Source organism: Homo sapiens, chromosome 4, assembly GCF_000001405.40.
Source record: "Homo sapiens chromosome 4, GRCh38.p14 Primary Assembly".
In the NCBI taxonomy this organism is placed as follows: Eukaryota; Metazoa; Chordata; class Mammalia; order Primates; family Hominidae; genus Homo; species Homo sapiens.
In genome coordinates, this window is record NC_000004.12 from 173,263,172 (window position 1) to 173,282,780 (window position 19,609).

Consider the following 19,609-nt stretch of genomic DNA (forward strand, 5'->3'; position numbering starts at 1 on the left):
CACAAATCTGTGGATCATACTTTGAAAAAGCCGCTGCTATAGATTTTAGAATGAAGAAGGTGAATAATAAGTTTCCTCAGAAAAAGTTTGTCATCAGCAGTCTTCCAGTTTGATTATTGACAAATACAGCATTATTTTATAAAGTAAAATTTAATCTCTTATACTTGATTTACTGGTAATTTCAGAGATTCTGTGCTTAGTGATGATTTAGATAATTAAGATGCTCACTTACTCAAAATTGTATTGAGCTCTATTTTAATTAACTGATACAGAAGAAAAACTTGATTTTATATTGCAGAAGTGCAGTCAACATCTGCACAAACATAGATGGCCGGATAGTATGAAATCCTATCTCTACACTAATTACTTAGGATTGATGGATAAAATAATAGCAAATCGGCCAGCTTTAATATTCCTGGGACTAAAATGGTTTTAAATGGTATAGGGCAACCAGCCTCCAAACTGGAAGGAGTAATTTATTTTACCATCATCCTATTAATTAAAATTAAAGGAACTCATGGGAACAAAACCCAAGGGTTCAAGGTTCATCAATTTATTAGTTGGGTATTTTATTATAATATCAGTATTTTGTAATGATTGCTTTTGGAATGCCAAGAATTCATTGAACAGGGTTCCCAAAAGTTGTCCATATTTTTTAAAGTCTAGAGATAGTGCTAAGATAAATATAAACACATCATAAAATAAGATCAATGGTATTTACATGATGAATACCTGTGGTCAGACATTAGTCTGATTACCTAGGTTCTAAACTGCTAGCTCATTGGTTTGGAACATCTGCAAAGCTATTCCACGCAAAGCCTTCCCCCTTTAGCAAGTTACTTTTATCAATAAGTAGTGATATACATAGACAAAATAATTGTTTTAAAGTTAGTCTTAGGACCAAATTTTCAGTAGGAAAATAATATACCAACCTGAGGGCATATTTCGATTTTTCCACCCCCTCCACCCTTCCCTTTTCAAAAGAAAAATATCTGCTATATGATACCTGAGTAAGCAGTAACTTACTGTTTGTATTCTAATGATTGTAAAACGTTAAGCAGATATATAATGGAATCAGAAGAATTCACCCAAAGCCAGAGTAACTAAGATATGAGTGGTTATGATACCAGGCAAAATGTTATAAGACAAAGCCAACCTTGCAAGATGATAAATTGTCTTATTTTTCCCATCAGTGTCCATTATAAGGTATAATGTGTGAGTCTACACACTGTGGTGTTGATTCTTGTATCTCTGTCCCAATACGGTGTGAGTTCTCTGAGCACACAGTAGGGTTAGATGGGTATTGCTCTTCCGTATTATCCTCTGAGTCTCAATTTTCTTATCTGAAAAAGAGGGAGTCGTCAATTTTTCTAACTTGTTTTAACCACAAGAAGCCCCAGAATCCTTTTTCAAGTGACTTCCTAGGCAACTCTATGCTTTTGTTCTTGGCACCTTCTTTAAATCCGTGGGCTCCTCCAACAAGTTTGGAAACCTGAGACCTAGATGTTTTCCCAGGTCTCTCTCATTTTAAAATTAAGTTTTTCTGTGTTTCTACATTCTCCCCTGGGTGTTCCACAATTGTTTCTCTAGATAAAAAAGCTGAATAGAACCAGCCAGCAAGCAGCTGGTGTGCAGCTGTTATCACTCGAGCCTGAACTTTGTGGCATGCTTTCTTTTGTGGTATTGCCTCTTCCTGCATCCTGGAGGGGGGAGTGGCTTCACAGCCCTTGGGCCACTGCCAGGTGCGACAGCTCTTTTTGGAAAATAATGATAGATGTGGCATCTATTTACTTGGCTACCTAGTATTGGTGCAGAAGCAAATGCTGCTTTGATCCCAGCACTTTAGCAACTTGCACTGTTTGGCAAAACTTGCGCTTCATGTACAAGCCACTCAACACTGTGCCCATCCTGGCAAGGAGAGCATCAGACGCAGCCAGGATACCAGGCTTGCCCTTCTTCGGTTTCCCCAGGAGCAGGCAGGGGACCAGATGGATTAGCTGGAGGACAGTCAGCCATTTTATATTGCCAAGCTCAACCATGCTAGCATTTCCAGGATATAATCCTGTTATGAGAATGTCTTCCTCTATTAGCCTTTGTTTGTGCCAGCTCCAGGGGTGGAGGAAACCCATTTTGCCTGACATACTAAGAAGTGACCTTTCCAGAGCCAGCTACTGTTTGGTGAATAGTTGTCATGGTCTTTCCCCATATCTCTGTATATACATTCATGACTTTTAGAACATAGAAAACTTATTTTTTGTTCTAAAAGCTTATCATCCCGTATATTTCCTTATCCTTTACCCTTACCAGCCTTCTCTACATGACCTCAGGTTTGTGACATGTTTAGCTCACCACCTAGCACATGGTAAGCAGCAAGTACATGCTAGCTGTTTTACTAGCAGTGATGGTGGCGTAAGCATCTCTCTCTCTCTCTCTCTCTCTCTCTCTCTCTGTCTCTGTCTCTCCACCCCCAAGACCCCCTCATTCCCCCCAATCTCCCTCCCTCCCCCACCCCCCACCCTGTCTCTCTCCCTTCTTCCTTCTCTGAAGCAATATGGGATTGTCTTGAATTTCTTCCACATGTCTTTTCAGAGTTTTTACCTTTTTCATTTCTTTTTTCTGAGTCTAGCGCTTTGCTTTCATCTCAGTCTTCAAATGGCCCAGATAAACTGCTTATCAGAATGGATGGGAGCCCAGTGCATAAGATTGCACTTTGGGAGTCACATGGTAGCTTTTAAAGGGAATGGCTTGGACGCTTCAAGAACCTTGCTCATAATATATTAAATGTGTCATAGAATTTTAGAACTGGCCAGGCTCAATGGCTCATGCCTGTAATCCCAGCACCTTGGAAGGATGAAGCAAATGGATCACTTGAGGCCAGGATTTCGAGACCAGCCTGGCCAACATGGCGAAACCCTGTCTCTACTACAAATACAAAAAAATTAGCTGGGCCTAGTGGCGTGCGGCCATGATCCCAGCTACTTAGGAGGCTGAGGCACAAGAATTGTTTGAACCCGAGAGGCGGACGTTGCAGTGAGCTGAGATAGCACCACTGTACTCCAGCCTGGGCAACAAAGCAAGACTCTGTCTCAAAAAGGAAAAAGAAAAAGAAAAGAAAAGAATTTTAGAACTGAAGGGGGCCAGAGGGGTTCCTTGGTACTGTGAGAGATCCCTCACTTTGTGGATAAGGAATCCCAAGTATAAACAGTATGTGATCATCCAGGATTAAATTAAGTGGCTGAGAAGAATGAATCCAGGTCTTCTAGGACCGACCTTTCACTATACCAGACAAAAGAGCACGAAAGTGTGTTGATCAGAGCAGTAGTTTTAATTGTAGTATTTTTGATACATTTGTGAAACATTTTATAGTAATAAAAATTTTTACTTAGGAGCAAAAGAAGTATGTTATCAATCCCAAGGTAACTCTTTTTAAATGTGGACATATAAAATTCCAATTATATGTAGAAGGGCCTCTGCTTAAATCTAAGTTGTAAGAAGTTATACTATTAATAAGAGAACAGATATAAAAATAATAAAATCCTGCCATTTTCGGCAACATGGATGAGCATGGGGGACATTATGTTAAAAATAAGCCAGGCACCGAAAGACAAGTATTGCATGTTCTCACTCACGTGGAAGCTAAAAAATTTGATCTCATGGAGGTAGAGAGTATAATGACGGCTACCTGAGGCTGGGAAGGGTGTGTGTGTGTGTGTGTGTGTGTGTGTGTGTGTGTGTGTGTGTGTGTGTGTGTGTGTGGAGGGCTGGGATGTGGGATAAAGAGGGGTTGGCTAATGGCTATAAACATACAGTTAGCTGGAAGGAATAAGTTCTAATGGTCAATAGGACAGCAGGTGACCATAGTTAACAACAATGTATTGTGTATTTCAAAAGGGCTAGAAAAGAATATTTGGGATGTTCCCAACACAAAGAAATGATAAATGTTTGAGGTGGTGCATATCCTAAATACCCTGCTTTGATCATTACCCATTATATGCATGTATCCATATATCACATGTATCCCATAAATAGGTACTATTATCATATATTAATTTTTAAAAGCCACCTTAGTATGGCCTAGAAGTAGAGGATCAGTGTTGAGGGTATGGGCAAAATTTACCATTGTACCATGCCTGTCACTTAGATCACCCTCCAGCCTGGCCCCTGAAACGCGTACCTGAATGCTAGGGAGATACACTGAAAGAGCATTCCATTAAAATGCCTGTCAAACTGAAGGATGGCAAATTTCTGTACTTGAGGGTTTGTGGACACCCATAGGCAGATTACCAGCCAGTGGCTTCTGCAGCGCCAGGAAACCATGCCTGGGCACAGACCAGCAAATGTCATCAGCAATGGCCATTCCTTAGAATAGGCACAGCAGGGGGACCAGCTTCACAGGACCAGGGGCCCCTTTGCAGCAGAGTCTTCACCTCAGCAAGCAGAGCTCACAGAAAATGAGGGGTGCTGCATGGTATCCGAGAGTGCCAAGTTCATAAATACACATGAGGTTCACTTTGGGAATCCCATACAGAGCTGAAAGAGTGATGAGCATGATATTGAGCATTTAGGGAGCTTTGGTTTCCTCTTCTAGCAATTGTGGATAATAATACTTGGCTTGTAAAGTTATTGTGGGTAACAAATGTGCTAAAGGACATAAAAGGCATATCACACATGAGCTCCACCGGTTGGAGGTCACAGTTGTTGGAGGCCACCTTCATCCCTTGTGTGGCATAGAGAAGCTTCAGAAGCTCTTTTTTCTGTATAGGCCTCTCATCATGCCAGGTGTGTGGTATTCAGCCTTATCTTTAAAATATGGTACCCTCTTCATTGTATTTCATCCTGCCGTCTTACTACAAAAGAGGAGGAGTCCTAAAGGAAGTTAGTAAATACAAAGAAGTTCTTAAGGTCAACCTAAGATAAAGAAATGCTTGCTTGTAAGTGCTGGGTGATTGAATCTATAATTTGCGTCAAGAGAAGTGAAGAAAAATGTTAGGGTGGTGCAAAAGTGATCGTGGTTTTTGCAATTTTTTAATGACAAAAACCACAATTACTTTTGCACCAACCTAACCTTGTTTTAGGCATGTATCTATTTAAAGACACTTTATTTTACCTATAACGTTGATGGGTTTACATTGAACTCAGGGCCAATAGCACTGTAACTCGCACCCAAACAAAGCTTGTCTCACGTGGATTTTCTGCACAGGACACAGCACAGCATCTTTGTGCTTAGGATACCAGGTAGCACACTGACATTATTCTCGGGAGGCTGTTTTAAACAGCAAAATTACCAACTAAAAGCACAAAAATGAGAAAATCTGTGGCACCAAACAAACTGCAAATAGGACACTTGTTTTCTCTCTCGTTTTTTTTTTTTTTTTTTTTTTTTTTTGAGATGGAGTCTCGCTCTGTAGCCCAGGCGTGGCGCCATCTTGGCTCACAGCAAGCTCTGCCTCCCAGGTTCACGCCATTCTCCTGCCTCAGCCTCCCGAGTAGCTGGGACTACAGGCGTCCACCACCACGCCCAGCTAATTTTTTTTTTTTTTTGTATTTTTAGTAGAGATGGGGTTTCACCGTGTTAGCCAGGATGGTCTCAATCTCCTGACCTCTTGATCCGCCCTTCTTGGCCTCCCAAAGTGCTGGGATTACAGGCGTGAGCCACCGCACCCGGACACTTGTTTACTCTATGAGCAGAAACAAGAAACAGAACATCCTCGTGTGCATGCCCATCAGGCATCTCCAATTGCAATCCACATTTGTGGACGTAGAATCCACAAATAATAAGGAGCCACTGAATTTTTGTATATTTAGTATGGGGCTCAGGTTAATCACAGAAATATTTACTATATAGTTAGTGGGCAAAATGCCCAGTACCCCATTATAATAAACCCAAATCTCAGTAACAGTGAAGATGTTTCTCAGAGGGGCATGGCTCCTCTGATGTTTGTCAGATAAGCATGTCTTATTATAGGGGCACTCAGACAACAGAGGCACAGAACAAAACAAAATATTTTTTGTCTGTTAATTTATTTCAAAAATGAAATCTGATAATGGCTTTTAGAAATGTGAAGACCAAAAAGCATCAAATTTTGTTTTTCCATTTAAGGAATAGAAATAAAGTGGCCGAGTTATTATTATATGTTCCGCCCATAATTCATCTTTCCTTGCTCCTTCCCACCCCTCCCCACTTTATCTTCCACCTCCTTTTATAGATACCTAACTGCTAAAATGGGCTTGGGAAGGCAGCTGGAATCATGCCAAGGTGTACCCAACAGAAGCTGCTGCAGTTAGTGACATGAGCTATGGAACACAGGAGGTCTTTTGCACTGATTGGAATATTTATTAGATTTAGTGCTGAAATAGTCTCTGCTGATAAGCAGACCTAATCTGAATTTCAAAGGTCCTTATGACCACGTAAATGTGATAGTATCATATCCTCAGGCCCCAAGTGCATCACCTTTCCTAAATGGTTGGATGCTGTATTGAATCTATTTAATATCCTGGTAACTAGCTTTGACTTTTTTCAGGAATACTTAATAATTTTAGATTTAATCTTCCCTCCTCCTCCTCCTCCTCAACAGAAGTAATTTAAATTCTTTCCAAGTAGTCATTGCACCTGTTTCTTACTTCAATCTTGGTCTCAAAGAAATATACAACAAACTCCGATAGACCACGGCCATAAAGTCCAATTTTATAATCATGCAGGAAAAGGAATGCTTCTTGAGGATCAAAAGTTGCAGTCATGATGCTAGGATGTTTCATATCCAGTAAAACTAGAGACACCCCACCTCATCAGCTGATTGTGGGAGAAGTCGTTTACAAAAGTCCTGTGAAGAAAGAACTAGATGATATAAATGTATGCATATTTCTAGAACCTGAAAAATATAAAAAGATAATCAAGTGTACTTGGACCCATAGCCACTGGTTTTAACCATTCTGCAGAAGTATAGCGCAATTATTATTGGCAATATGTGAAGATATGGATGATTTCATGGGGAAATCTTTGAAATTAAAGTGGGATAATTTGGAGGTACAGGGGAAATGTTTTTCCCTTTAAACTGTGGCAATAACCCTTGTAATTGCATGTGCTCTCCAGAATAAAGATATAGCAGATTGACATCAGCTTCAGAAAATGAGACATTAGGTACCTGAGGGATTCAGTCAAATTGCTCCTATGAAATCTTGAGTTTTGAAGATTGAAAAAAAAATGCTTGTTTTTGTGACAAGTGTTTTGGGGAATATTTTAGGGGATAATTGATGTTCTGCATTCCAATACCTTAGGTAATGAGGAAGCTGTGGAAACAGCCTCCTTTCTTTTATGAAGGCTTTCGTATTCAAGATCACCATAGAGGTCAGTGCTGTGAAGCTAATCTTGGACGCCTATCTCAATTGCTTCAGAGTATTTAGGATTTCTAAGGTTTTTGATGGATTTTTTTCATCAAAAGATATAATTTTTCCTCCACATGAAATGCTTTAAAGTGGTGATAATTAAACATATTTACTCAGTAATATTTGGAACATTATACTGGAATTCAGAAGCTCTGGCTTTCCTCTTTGGATTTATAAACCACCAAAAGTTGGCAACTGGCCCTTGTAAAAGATTTCTTCCAGCAGAGCTCTTGTATCTTTGTTTGTGTTTTCCTTTCCCGCTTAAGCACATTTATCTTTGCTTTTAGCTGCTGCAGCCCTCTGAGAAACAGCAGTCTTCTTGGCAGCTGCATTCTGTGCAGGCTCCTGCTCTATCAGTATGACAGCTATCTAGAAGGACTATATATTAGATGGAATAACCAGCTGATATCAGAAGGGAAAAAACTGGCAGCAACGAAGCACAAAGTTCCCCTCAGTATAATTTGCAAATCTTTCAATTAACCTATTGAATCAAAATGAGAATGGGTATAAATAGTAATGATTTTTAAAATATGCCCTTGCTTTTTAGAATAGATGCATTTTCAGCAAAGCCATCTGCAAAGTGAATACGAAAATTTGGTCTAATTCTGTTAGTAAGTTGACATTGTTGTTCTGGGGAAAGCTTTAATGTATTATTTTTTATGAGAATAAAGGTATCAGGCTAGATTTTTTGCCCAGGGGTTTGCTGATTATGAAGCTGCCAGAGTAATGTTCCATTCACTTGTAGTTGTCTTAAGTAGCAACTTTAAATATTTTGAAAAAAGGAAAGAAGTATTTATGTTTAGTAGAATATTTAAAGGAAGAAAGTAAAAACAATCACCTGTAATCCTACCAGCCAAGTAATACATATATTTATGTTAAACTGTTTGTTTGTTTGTTTATTTATTTATTTATTTATTGAGACAGAGTCTTGCTCTGTTGCCCAGGCTGGAGTGCAGTGGTGGGATCTCAGCTCACTGAAACTTCCTCTGCCTCCTGGGTTCAAGTGATTCTCCTGCCTCAGACTCCCGAGTAGGTGGGATTTCAGGTGTGCACCATCAGGCGTGGCTAATTTTTGTATTTTTCGTATAGATGGGGTTTCACCACATTGGCCAGGCTAGTCTCGAACTCCTAACCTCAGGTGATCCACCCACCTCAACCTCCCAAAATGCTAGGATTATAGATGTGAGCCACTGTGCCTGGCCCCAAGTAGTATATTTTAAAAATATGAGGTCATTTTAAAAGATGAGGTTAGATGTTATATATTATTTCTAAAATTTTATTAAAATTGTTTTTACACATTTTTATGTATCTTTAAATATTTTTTGTGCAACACCATTTTGCTAGCTATATGATCTGCTGCATGGATGACCACAATTTATTTCATCCATCCTTTATTTTGGGACATTTGGATTATTTTCAGGTTTTCACTATTGTAAACAATGCTGTGAGGAACCCGCTTATGGCTCAGTCTTTGTGCCCATCATTGATTATTTCAAGAGGACAAATTCCTAGTGGAATCACTAAATCAAAGGATTAATAACTGGTTCCTTTTACTTGGTAGTGTTTTGTCAACTCTGGAGTCTCTCCTCTGCTCTCCATCCCTGTCCCTCACTGCTTCCACTTCATACAGAATATATTTGTTTTGCCCTTTTCCATTTTTCTCTTTTTTTGTCTCCTTTGGTAATGGTCTCCCCCTGTATATGGACTATCTGTAGACCATTAGAAATTGAGGGACTCTCAAGAGAGAATGCAACAAACTGATACTATTTCAAGATGACAGTTGACCATAGCTTACATGCAGTGTTCACATGAGTTAAGTCATTGGGTTCCCTGCCAGATTTTAAGTGAACTAAAATGTTTTCTAAAATTTTGGTTTGAGATTTTCTGGCATCTGCCTCTTTCAGAGTGAGAATTAACATACCATCTCAGTTGTTATAATTCCATCCCATCTTTGAGCCATAAACTATTTGATAACTAACTTCAACTCACTCTTCGTGACTCACTCGCCTCAGAAAGATTTGATTTTCTGGAAAATTACAATGAAGCAGAGATGTAAAAAGATAAGTAAAGATAACTCAATTGATTCCGGAAATGAGGTAGACTACCGCAATAATTTTTTGAAATAGTATTACCAAATTTTCTCCTTTACAACGTTTTTAAACATCTCATATGTATCAATTATATGCTAATGAACTACTTGTTTCCTAATATCTTTAACAAGATAAATTACTAAGTGTAGCCAACATATATTCTTACTAACCCCAGAAAATGTCTGTTCTGTGAGTTAATAAATGTTAACTGTTGTATATTACATACTCTTTTCCATATTTGTTTTACAGTGGAGAGGGTCTTCAAAAAACGATCTAGTACATCTCTTCATTTTGCTATAGGGCCATTACTATCAATGTTTAAGACTTCTGTAAGTAAATATTACAACCTGTCTTGCAACCAATCCTGTAATATCTAACAATTCTCTTTTGAGAAATTATTTACTAACTCCAGCCTAAAGTTATCATGCTGCTACTGTAAGACTGTACCTCTTCAGTCATTAACAGTGTTGAAATTTGCTTTTGGAAATGTAAGTCCTCCATATGGTTGATGTCATTTCCTCATTGTAATTAGAGTACATCGAGAAGGCATATAATCACTCACTGAGTGATGAAACATGGATTGGGAGAGATGACTCAATAAACATTTTAAGGAATGTTTGTAAAGTGTGATTTTCAAATCTGTGTTGAACTTAAATTCCCAACTTGTTCTCTGCACAACTGTTTTTTACTGACTTGCACCTTGGTACAATGCCATTGGTCTCCATTGAAGTCTTTATGGAAAACAGCACAGTGAAACTCTTTACTGTGTTTACCATAAGGAGGCCCCTGTTGTTGTTGTTTAAAAACAACAACAAAAAATCCCATCCGATCTTCACGCCATGAATATTGTACTTCTTCTGAACAACTGGTTTGTTAAACACAGACCTCACCAGGTTTTCTTGCTAGAAAATTCAAGCCAATATTGTGATTTACCCATAAGAAGTATTTGGTATACCCAACCCACCATGCTACTCACTTGGGGTGGTGCGTTCATAGTGTGCTCATTGTCAGTCGTACCCCAGAACTGTGCACACAGGAGCCCTTGACCCTCTGGTATATACTTCTAAAACCTCATTCTTGATTCCTCCTTCTTTTTCCTCTCATTCTTTCTTTATCCATCTTTTTCCCTCCTTCTATTTTTAACTTTTGTAATACTGTTTTATTCTGTGTGTCTTTGTAAGCTGCTCAAAGTCCTTGTGGAATAAGGTGTAGCATAAGTTAATAACTAAGTCAAAAATGCAGACCTTTATTTGCTCAGACTGTTAAGTTATCTATACATCCATGCATGGTGCCCAATGTTGATCCTTACTCCTGTTGTTTCAGCTCAAATATATTGGTGTTTGATAAGCTGGTACTTCTGTAACACAGAATATGGCATGTAAGCTCATATTTGAAATGAGAGTCCAATATAGCTATAAACATATGGCTTACACTGTGAAATGTTCTTTTTTTCCTTTCCCAGGGAGTTTTGAAGAAATATACAAGAACATATGTCCAGTCCTAGGAATCCCTGCCAGATTTTTTTTCTCTAAATTGTGGTTTGAGATTTCAAATCATTAACTGGATACATCTGTCTGAGTATGTTTTCCTTTTCAAAAAAAGAAAATTTGAAAATAGCTACCCAAAAGACATAGTTCAGTATTCTTAATTTTCCATAACATAGTTAGTATCCTCAACCTTTAAAATTAAACTGACATTCTCTGAGCTGTGTGCAGTCATTTTGTTGGTGGCCATGTATTTCCTGGGTATTGGGTGAAAATAAGGAATTTATTTTCCTGTATGTTGTTTAAGCATATATTTGTGTGTAATTCTTAGTAAACTTGTAGGTTTAAGGAAAGAGCCTTCAAATTAGAGTCAAAGGATTCATTTTTAAATCTTGCTGCTGTCACTAACTGTGTGACTTTAAGCAAATCATATAACCTAACAGAGCCTCAGTTTCTTTATATATAAAATGAATAATAATAATAATGCCTGCCCTTTCTATTTCACAGGGTTACTGTGAAACTCACATGAGATAACATGTATTAAAGTGCTTTGAAACTAATAGCAGAGCTATTAGAACTGCATTGCCTCAGTCTGGGATAAAAGGAGATCACAATAACTAATAGCAAAATCACCATTTATTTGGCTTAAATACTATCTACTCTGCTAGAATTTTAACTCCCTCAAATTCACAACTAGTTCTGGGAGTCAGCCGGGGATGTTGAACATATGCTTGGGAATGGATCCTGTTGGATTCCTCATGGATGCTCATGTGCCTTCTCTGTGGCTCACTGCTGTCGTCTCCTCTGCTGCTCTTGCAGCCAGTGCTTAGTGACTCCACGGTCATAGGACCTGACGCCTCTAATGTCCTCACCAAAAGGAAATACAGTCATCCCCATGCAGCCACTCTTAACAACTGTCAGCTGTGAAGTTCTCACCTACATCTTCTCTCATGGTATCTCAACATGGGGAGCATAACTTTCTCATTTTTGGGGGCTCATTAGGACACTAAGTGAGGAGGAGCATCAGGGGATGGCTGAGACTGAGGTGTTCTCTAAAACTGTATTCGAACGTTTCTGTCCCAGAGTTTATACACATTATTTAAGGTTATAGTAGAGACTGCAAGCTGAATGGTCCAATGACGATGTGACCTTTAAGAAGCCTCTGGCTTCCTTCGTGAATTCTAACCGTACCGTTACTGTGTTTGAGGATCACTGGCAGCCGAGCTCTGAGTGGGGAACTGAGATAAGAAAGGTGTTGTCATGATAACACCTGGACAGCTGCATCCCACAGACTATGGGAGTGCCAGGAAACTGGCTACCTCACAGCAGAGTAGAGAAAATGGAAATAAACACAAATATAAGCTTTTCAGTGAGCTGTGGGTCAGAGAAGGCCACAAGTGGTCTGGCAGATCATGGTGCAGCTCTTTGTTTCATGAGCTACGTGCAGCAGTAGTTTTTATGAGCTCTTTTTGTAGCTTTCCAGCCCTAGGATTCAGCCATGGTAAGGTGGAAAGTTTCTGGTACTAGCCCTGCTGTTCTGCTAACAATGGTCCACTTTCCTCCAAACCCATTGATTATTTAGACATGAAATAAATCTATGCATCTCAACTCTCTGCCTCAGAAAATGAAATCTGTCCCAGGAAAAGTTCAGATGCAGTAACCTGCTAGGAACTAGGGATGCTTGTCTTAAAACCCTACACACATGGCAAACACTGTTTTATTTAGATTGAGCTGATTGGGAGGGGTGGACCTGATAGGGATATGGGCATGATGAGCTAAAGCCACCAACTGGCGCTACCTTCAAAAATGGGTCCTACCTTCCAACTATGGCACCATACAGTACACTCCAAAGCAAGGATTGTAGTTAACAGCCATACTTTCTTAATTATCTAGTTTCATCCTGAAAGGCAGACCCATCCATTAATTCCATGAGCATTGATTTTGACTTTCAGCCTTAAATAGAGCAACAAGTAAACATTTTTTATTCCCCTTTTCATTAATATTTAATTCATTAATGAGGACAGTGGGTAATGTTCTGTGATATAGTACTCGTGTGACAAAGGAGTAGTCCCAGGAAAATTTTTGGAATCAAATCAACAAGTATGTATTGAGTTTTGACATAATACATGAAAATGCTGTTTTGGCTAAGAGCAGAACTTCTGATGATTAGTTTTGCTGACATTTTAATCTTGGAGATGATAAGGTAGAATTATAGGCTTAATTTTGACCTTCACAGGGATTGATTGATAATAACATTGGAAAAAGGTAACTAGGTTATCTTAGAGTCTCTATTAGCCAAGGAAAAGAAGAGAAAGTCTTCAAGGAATTGAGGCATTGTTTGAGAAAATGATTAAATAAAAAACTATAACCACAGTTTTATTTTGTCTAGTTAAAATAAAGAATATATAGTATTATCAAGAAAAGAATAGTCTACATGGGGGTTAGAATAAGGGAACCTAAGAAAAGATGTGATTATTGTACCACTAGCTATCCATCAGAGAGGGAGCTTGAGTCAGTCAGTATAAATTTAGTCTGTTCAGCACACCCTATTGTGGAGGAGGAAGCAGGGAGCTTCAAAACTGTAAGGCATCAGCCATTAAAACAGATTCTGTGTTTGCCAAGCAACCTTCTCATTGTGACCAGAGTTTGCAGGCAGAGTTTCCAGTGATGACTAGGTTGCATGAAAATTTTTTTTTTCTCATTTCAAACAGTATTTTATGTATCAGCTTCTTGTTTGGTGAGCATGTGTAATTCTCTTAAGTTTAATTAATTTTGCATATTTATAACAATTTTTAGGACCTTCCAAGTAGTACCATCTCTGTCTCTAGCTTACCTTCCTGTAACTTCAACAATGACCATAGAGGAAGATCTCCAATAATCTCAAATTTAAAGAGACGATAGATAGATTGATTGATAGATTGATTGATTAAAACTTAGTGAAAAGCTCTCAGTTTAACTCTTAGTTCATTAATATATAATAAACTAAAATTTACAAAAATATCAAGTGTAGCGTTTAGACATGGATTATTTGCCCATAAACAAATCTGTTTAACTAGTTTAACCTTAAACAAAAAAATGTGGAGCGGGGTGGTGCGAGCTACTAGTTGAAAGGATATATGAGTATCTCATAGAACCCAAGGTCAGGAAGTACACATGGTGGCTGTGGGAGACTCGGAAGTACAAACTGAAAAGTTGAGAACTAAAGTCACATGCTCTGTCTTTCTCAGAGTTCATGAATTCTCATCTCTACTTCTTTCTCTCTGCTTCTGCATGAAAATAGCTGTCCAGTCCTTGCCTGACAATGCAAGAGCCTAGTAGAAACCAACAAGAGTTCCAGAAGCTCAGAGTTTGCAGAGAAGGACTCTGATTGGCACTTCTCAAACAGGTGTGCACTCTGAGTCCATTTTGATGGCCTAGGGATGACGTCACATGGTTGCTTTTTCTTGGGAACTGCTGTTTAAGGAGATTCTTAGAGAAGGGGACCTCAGTAGGGCCAAGTGATGGAACAGCTTTCAGAAAAACAGGAGACATTCTAGATATGTATTCCAAGTGTTGTCTGCAACGATTAAAAAATTGCTTTAAATTCTGTTCAGAGTAAAATAATGAAAAAGCAAAGAGTAGGCAGATTATTAGGGCAAATTATATGATTTTAACGTATGAGAAGAAAGACAGATGTGCAATACTTTTTTGTTTCCTTCTTAGTTATCTGCAGGAGTGATTTCCATATTGAAAGTATTATAACTGACATCTTAAGAGTGCACTAGATTTGTTAAAGCCTTTAAAGCCTCTTACAGCACCAGCTATTGAGGAACTTGCCAGATGAGTTTGAGAGGAAGTACTGTCAGTAATCCTCAGGTACTGGAGAGAAGAGGAGAAATTTTAGGAAACTGGAGGTGGGAAAATACTACCTTATATTTTTCAAAGGGGAGAGAGAAAACTTGTTCTTGGAAACTTGTCACTGATACACAGTATTTAAGGGAGATCATTTAAACATATTTAAAAAGTAGCCATCACTAGGTACCAGCATGGGGCTATGAAAAAGAGTCAGACCAAAGTCACAGCTACACCTAAAAGAAGACATGTGTTTACCTTAGTAGACCAGGAGACTGTGTGATAGATACCTCCTGCAGTGTGAGTTAGCAAGATATTTGAGTAAAGTGTTCAGATCCCCGTGGAGAAGAGAAATAAATATAGTTTGAATGATAGTGCAATTAGGTGAAATTGATAAATGGAGTGATATCAACCTCTCAGGGAAAACACATAGCTTTAAAACAGTATTTGACCTCATATTCCTCCATATAAACAGTAGATAAAGTGGAATCATATTAGTCCAATTTTCAACATAGAAAACTGGGAGGGATGGTTATACACAACAAATGACAAAAACCAAAGAGGGCAGAACCTGCTGGAACATGCACCTAAACCAACAATATAAAATGCAATAAATGTAAACATGGTATTTTATACTAAGTTCAACTGCTGAAATATAAAATGGGAAACATTGGACTTAACAGTAATTTGGGGAGAAAAATTTTAGGGAATTGTGAGATAGCAATATGATATAGTTGCAAAAATACAGTGCCAATATAATTTTAGATTATACTTTTAAAGGAATTATATCCAGACTAAGAGTTGTAGCGTTGATCTCATATATTGTCCAGTCCACATCTGAATTATTGTAGCAGTCCTTTTTGGGAAAGATGTTGACAAAATGGGGCATTTCCAGAGAGGGATAATGAGGAATTTTAATCTATAAATTTCTTTCGAAGCTTAGATTTTTTATTTTGCTATGTGTAATGCACTGTATGGAATAAAATCTACCATACTGTGTTCCCAAGGAGCATACTTTGTGTCATTCCAACCAGTGTCCATAGAAACTGAACACTTGGGTAAAATTCACTCCCCTCAGTCTATTGATTCTGATAACTGGGTTTAACAGTGACGTATTAGGCCATTCTTGCATTGCTGTAAAGGAATAACAGAGACCGGGTAATTTATGAAGAAAAGAGGTTTAATTGGCTCATGGTTCTGCAGGCTGTACAAGCATGGCACTGACATATGCCTGGCTTTGGGGGAGGCCTCAGGAAGCTTACAATCATGGCAGAAGGCAAAGGGGGAGCAGGTCTCACATGGTGAGACTGAGAGCAAGAGAGAGTGGAGGGTAAGCTACACATTTTTAAACAACCAAATCTCACCAGAACTCACTGTTGTGAGGAGAGCACCAAGAGGATGGTTCTAAACATGAGAAATCCGCCCCCACGATCAAATCACCTCCCACCAGGCCCCACCTCCAACACTGGGGACTACATTTTAACATGAGATTTGTGGGGGGCAAACATCCAAACTATATCAAGTGATAAACTGTCTTTTCACTGAAAATGTATATTGATTTCTGAATGCTAAATTAAACTTTGTATTCTACATTAGTAACATATTCAAGTGTCAGCACTGTTTCTTATAAATTGTAAGCATTTTTCCACTTCCTTTTATGATGAAAATGAGCAAAAGAGGTTTTAGATGAAAGCAGGAAAGGTCCTCAATTTATTATAAAATAAAAATGGAGGCCGGGCATGGTGGCTCACGACTGTAATCCCAGCACTTTGGGAGGCTGAGGCAGATGGATCACCTGAGGTCAGGAGTTCGAGACCAGCCTGACCAACATAGCCAAACCTTGTCTCTACTAAAAATACAAAAAAGTTAGCCAGGTGTGGTGGCGCGTACCTGTAGTCCCAGCTCTTCGGGGGGCTGAGGCACAAGAATCACTTGAACCCGGGTGGCAGAGGTTGCAGTGAGGCAAGACCATGCCACTGCACTCCAGCTGGGTGATAGAGCGAGACTCTGTCTCAATAAAAAGGAAAAAAAAAAGGATAGTTAAAAAAAATCAGTGTTTCTCAAATTGAGGATTTGTTTCCTATGCCTAAAGAATCTTCCTGGTTATATTTACTTCAGAATTAAGGGGAGAGAATCAAAAATGACTCTTTGTCTTGAGACTCCTAGTGAATGGTCTAAAAGTAAGAAACAACCTTTAAGAGGAGCGAGAGATGAGTAACTTCCACACACCAAATACACAAAAGCATGCACACACACATTATTGTAGATTAATGATAGTGTATATTGAGTGCAGGGACTCGCAGCCTCAAAATGTTACGTTTTTCATAGTCTGCTGAATTAGATATTATTTATTGATGAAGTCTAAATATAACAAGGTTTTATATTAAACTACAGATGTTAAAAACATAGCTGATACAGAGAAAATGCAAGTGAGACATTTCATTTTTATTTTTGAAATCTATTTTTTAAGTTATTGGAAAATCACTATGGAAATTCATTATTCTCATATTTTCTGCTAATGCCAAGCACCTGACCCAGATAGCTACCCTGAAAATATTCTGTAAAATTACTCTAAGAATAACTCTAATCATTGCAAGCCTGTAATCTGAATGTGAGTATATGTGATCAGAGCAGTTCTACAATGTAGCTGAACCAGTACTGTCCTTGGTGTTAGAGGATTTTAAAGCTTTCTTGGGAAATGAGATACCAAAGAGGAGAAATTAGTCAAAAATATATATCAGGGCCCATCCATTTAAATGTTGTCCTTCTTATTAGAACTTATTACAAATTCTACACCAGTAAAGTGAGAGGAATGATGCAGAATAGGGGGTTTTACCTCAATACAATGGGCATTTCTTTCTTACTAAATCTTAATAGCAAGGCTTTGTGTATTATAAATACTACTTCTGTGTGCTCTACCCAGTGGCTTCATCTCACAGTGACAAACCAGAAAAGAGCTAAACTTTAAGATCCTGCCTTCAGGTTGACGGTGGCAAATGAAAGCTTGTAATTGAAGGTAGCTCAATTTGTGTTGGGCTGAAGCTTTCATTTGGGATAAGTGTCCAATCCAGTCGGCCCAAAATTCAGACTCCCTCTCTGGGCTGTTTCTGTGCTCCAGAGGGTCTCTTTTCCTCTCTTCCTTTTCTCTCTAGCATCCTGGTGACAGGAGGATTGTGCACCCTTGAGGAACATGTTTTAGATGGTTCTGGCCTGCTTACCTCTGTCTCTGCTGCCTCCTCCTGGTTCTGGGTAGGTGTGCCTGTCTTCCCGGGTATACTGGCACCCTTTCATCTGCTGCTGAAGGAACCCCTGCTGCAGTAACTTCTATTCAGTTCTCTTGCTGCCTTTGGGACCAACGGTCCTTTCCTCACCAGACCCACTATGGGGACTTATCTCCATTTTGGCCCTCACTGGTACTGTGGATCCTCTGAAGCCCGCTTGTCTACAAGAGCCTGTCGTGTCTTAAGCCTTCCATCCCATAGAGTTGCCACATGTCATCCTATTCCTTATTACTGTGACCCCTGGCAGGCCACTGGCTCTCAACTCTTAGCTACCATCCATGTTCCCCACTGGAAGCATGTGGAAACGTCTGGGCTCCCTGGCTGCACCCTACAGCCAAGGGAGACTGCACAGCAGATGTGGAAAGGGAAGTTGTCTCTAGGTCTCCTGCCCAAGTACACTTCAGCATGGTTTCTCTTTCACATGGCAACCACCTTCTATTGGATAGTCTCCTCCAAAGCTGGGAAATGGAGGCTGCGCACAAATCCGTTCCTTCATCTGCTTTTGTTACCTTCTATCCCCTTGTTCCCTCCAGATTTCCTACCTCTCCCTAGTAGAAGAGCTTCTACTTCCCTTTTCTGTGGAAGAGGAACATGTCCTCCTCCACAGAATGTGGAGCCATGTGGACTTAACTTGTTCTGTTGCAGTTTTGCCAGTGCACCTTAAAGTAGCGGTTTCTCGTTGTCTGAACAAGTACCCGGGGTTCTTTGTCCTGCATCCAAAAAAATTAAGGAGCATGGACACAAGGGTGGGGGTGGAGTGAAAGTTTAATAAGCGAAAGAAAGCACTTCGCAGCGGAGAGGGGAGTCCGAGTGGATTGCCGAGTTACAGCTGACTCCAGAAGCTTTTATAAGAAACTCTTCTCATCTCTGTAGCAGTTTGAGTAACTTCTCCTATCAGTAAAGCTGTCTGTGCAACTCCCCTTATCTTATGCAGCTGTGGGTATGTCTCTAGGCAAGCACAAAGCGCCACTTCTCTTTTCTGTATAACTGTGGGTTTGTTTTAGGTAAGCCCCCGTCTTCCCTGTGCAAGTTTCTGTGGAGCCCACCATGTATATGCCTCAAAAGGGGAGGAAACTTTTTCCTGGGAGCTTGCTAATTATACGAAGAACAAACGGCTTCTTTTCTGGACGCTGTCTGCTTCTCTGTGTGCAGGTGCAGCCTGAGTTTTTGTCCCAGATTGTTTTGTTTTTGCCCATTGCTGTGACTTTTCAGGCAGACCGCTTCTACACTGTAAGTTTGCCCCAACTGATTTTTTCTTTTCCCTCACCCTCATTCCCCACTTCAGAAGTGGGAACTCTAACTGCTGTTAGGGAGATTGGGCATTGATCTTTCTGGCTATTTCTTGCTGGAGAGGAGCATTGTGTGAGGAACAGCAGCTAGGATTCCTCCCGAGGCTGGTTTAAGGGTCCTCAGAAAAAAGGTGCGTTTAATGTGTGGTTCCATTTACTTTACCATTTGGAGCTTGATGGCCTCTAGATGAAAAAAACAATTTGGGTTATTAGACAACATGTATTAAAATGAGACAAGGAAGGAGGTAAGG

General features: G+C 39.4%; 1 protein-coding gene, 1 long non-coding RNA gene and 1 other non-coding gene across 14 annotated transcripts in view, besides 1 other annotated feature; 2 read left to right on the forward strand and 1 right to left on the reverse strand.

Annotated features, from left to right (window-relative positions):
- GALNT7 (polypeptide N-acetylgalactosaminyltransferase 7) overlaps positions 1-19,609 on the forward strand; it is a 155,157-nt gene that overhangs the window by 94,361 nt on the left and 41,187 nt on the right. The window lies entirely within an intron of this gene.
- LOC124900812 (uncharacterized) overlaps positions 1-19,609 on the reverse strand; it is a 32,965-nt gene that overhangs the window by 6,654 nt on the left and 6,702 nt on the right. Inside the window, exon 2 of one of the 2 annotated variants that reach the window (XR_007058367.1) lies at positions 1,157-19,541. This is a non-coding gene — a long non-coding RNA (uncharacterized LOC124900812). Of the gene's footprint in view, positions 1-1,156; positions 19,542-19,609 lie in introns of those variants that run through there. The other variant, XR_007058366.1, reaches the window with a different exon arrangement.
- On the forward strand, positions 4,989-5,062 carry MIR548T (microRNA 548t). Its single transcript, NR_036093.1, has one exon. It is a non-coding gene; the product is annotated as a microRNA 548t (primary transcript).
- Positions 12,143-12,345: a silencer, noted in NCBI's record as "fragment chr4:174196465-174196667 (GRCh37/hg19 assembly coordinates)". NCBI's record gives its function as "represses an EF-1alpha promoter that drives an FKBP-Casp9 reporter gene in an ReSE screen in phorbol 12-myristate 13-acetate-treated (for megakaryocytic differentiation) K562 erythroleukemia cells {active_cell/tissue: K562(+PMA)}" and the evidence as "EXISTENCE:reporter gene assay evidence [ECO:0000049][PMID:32094911]".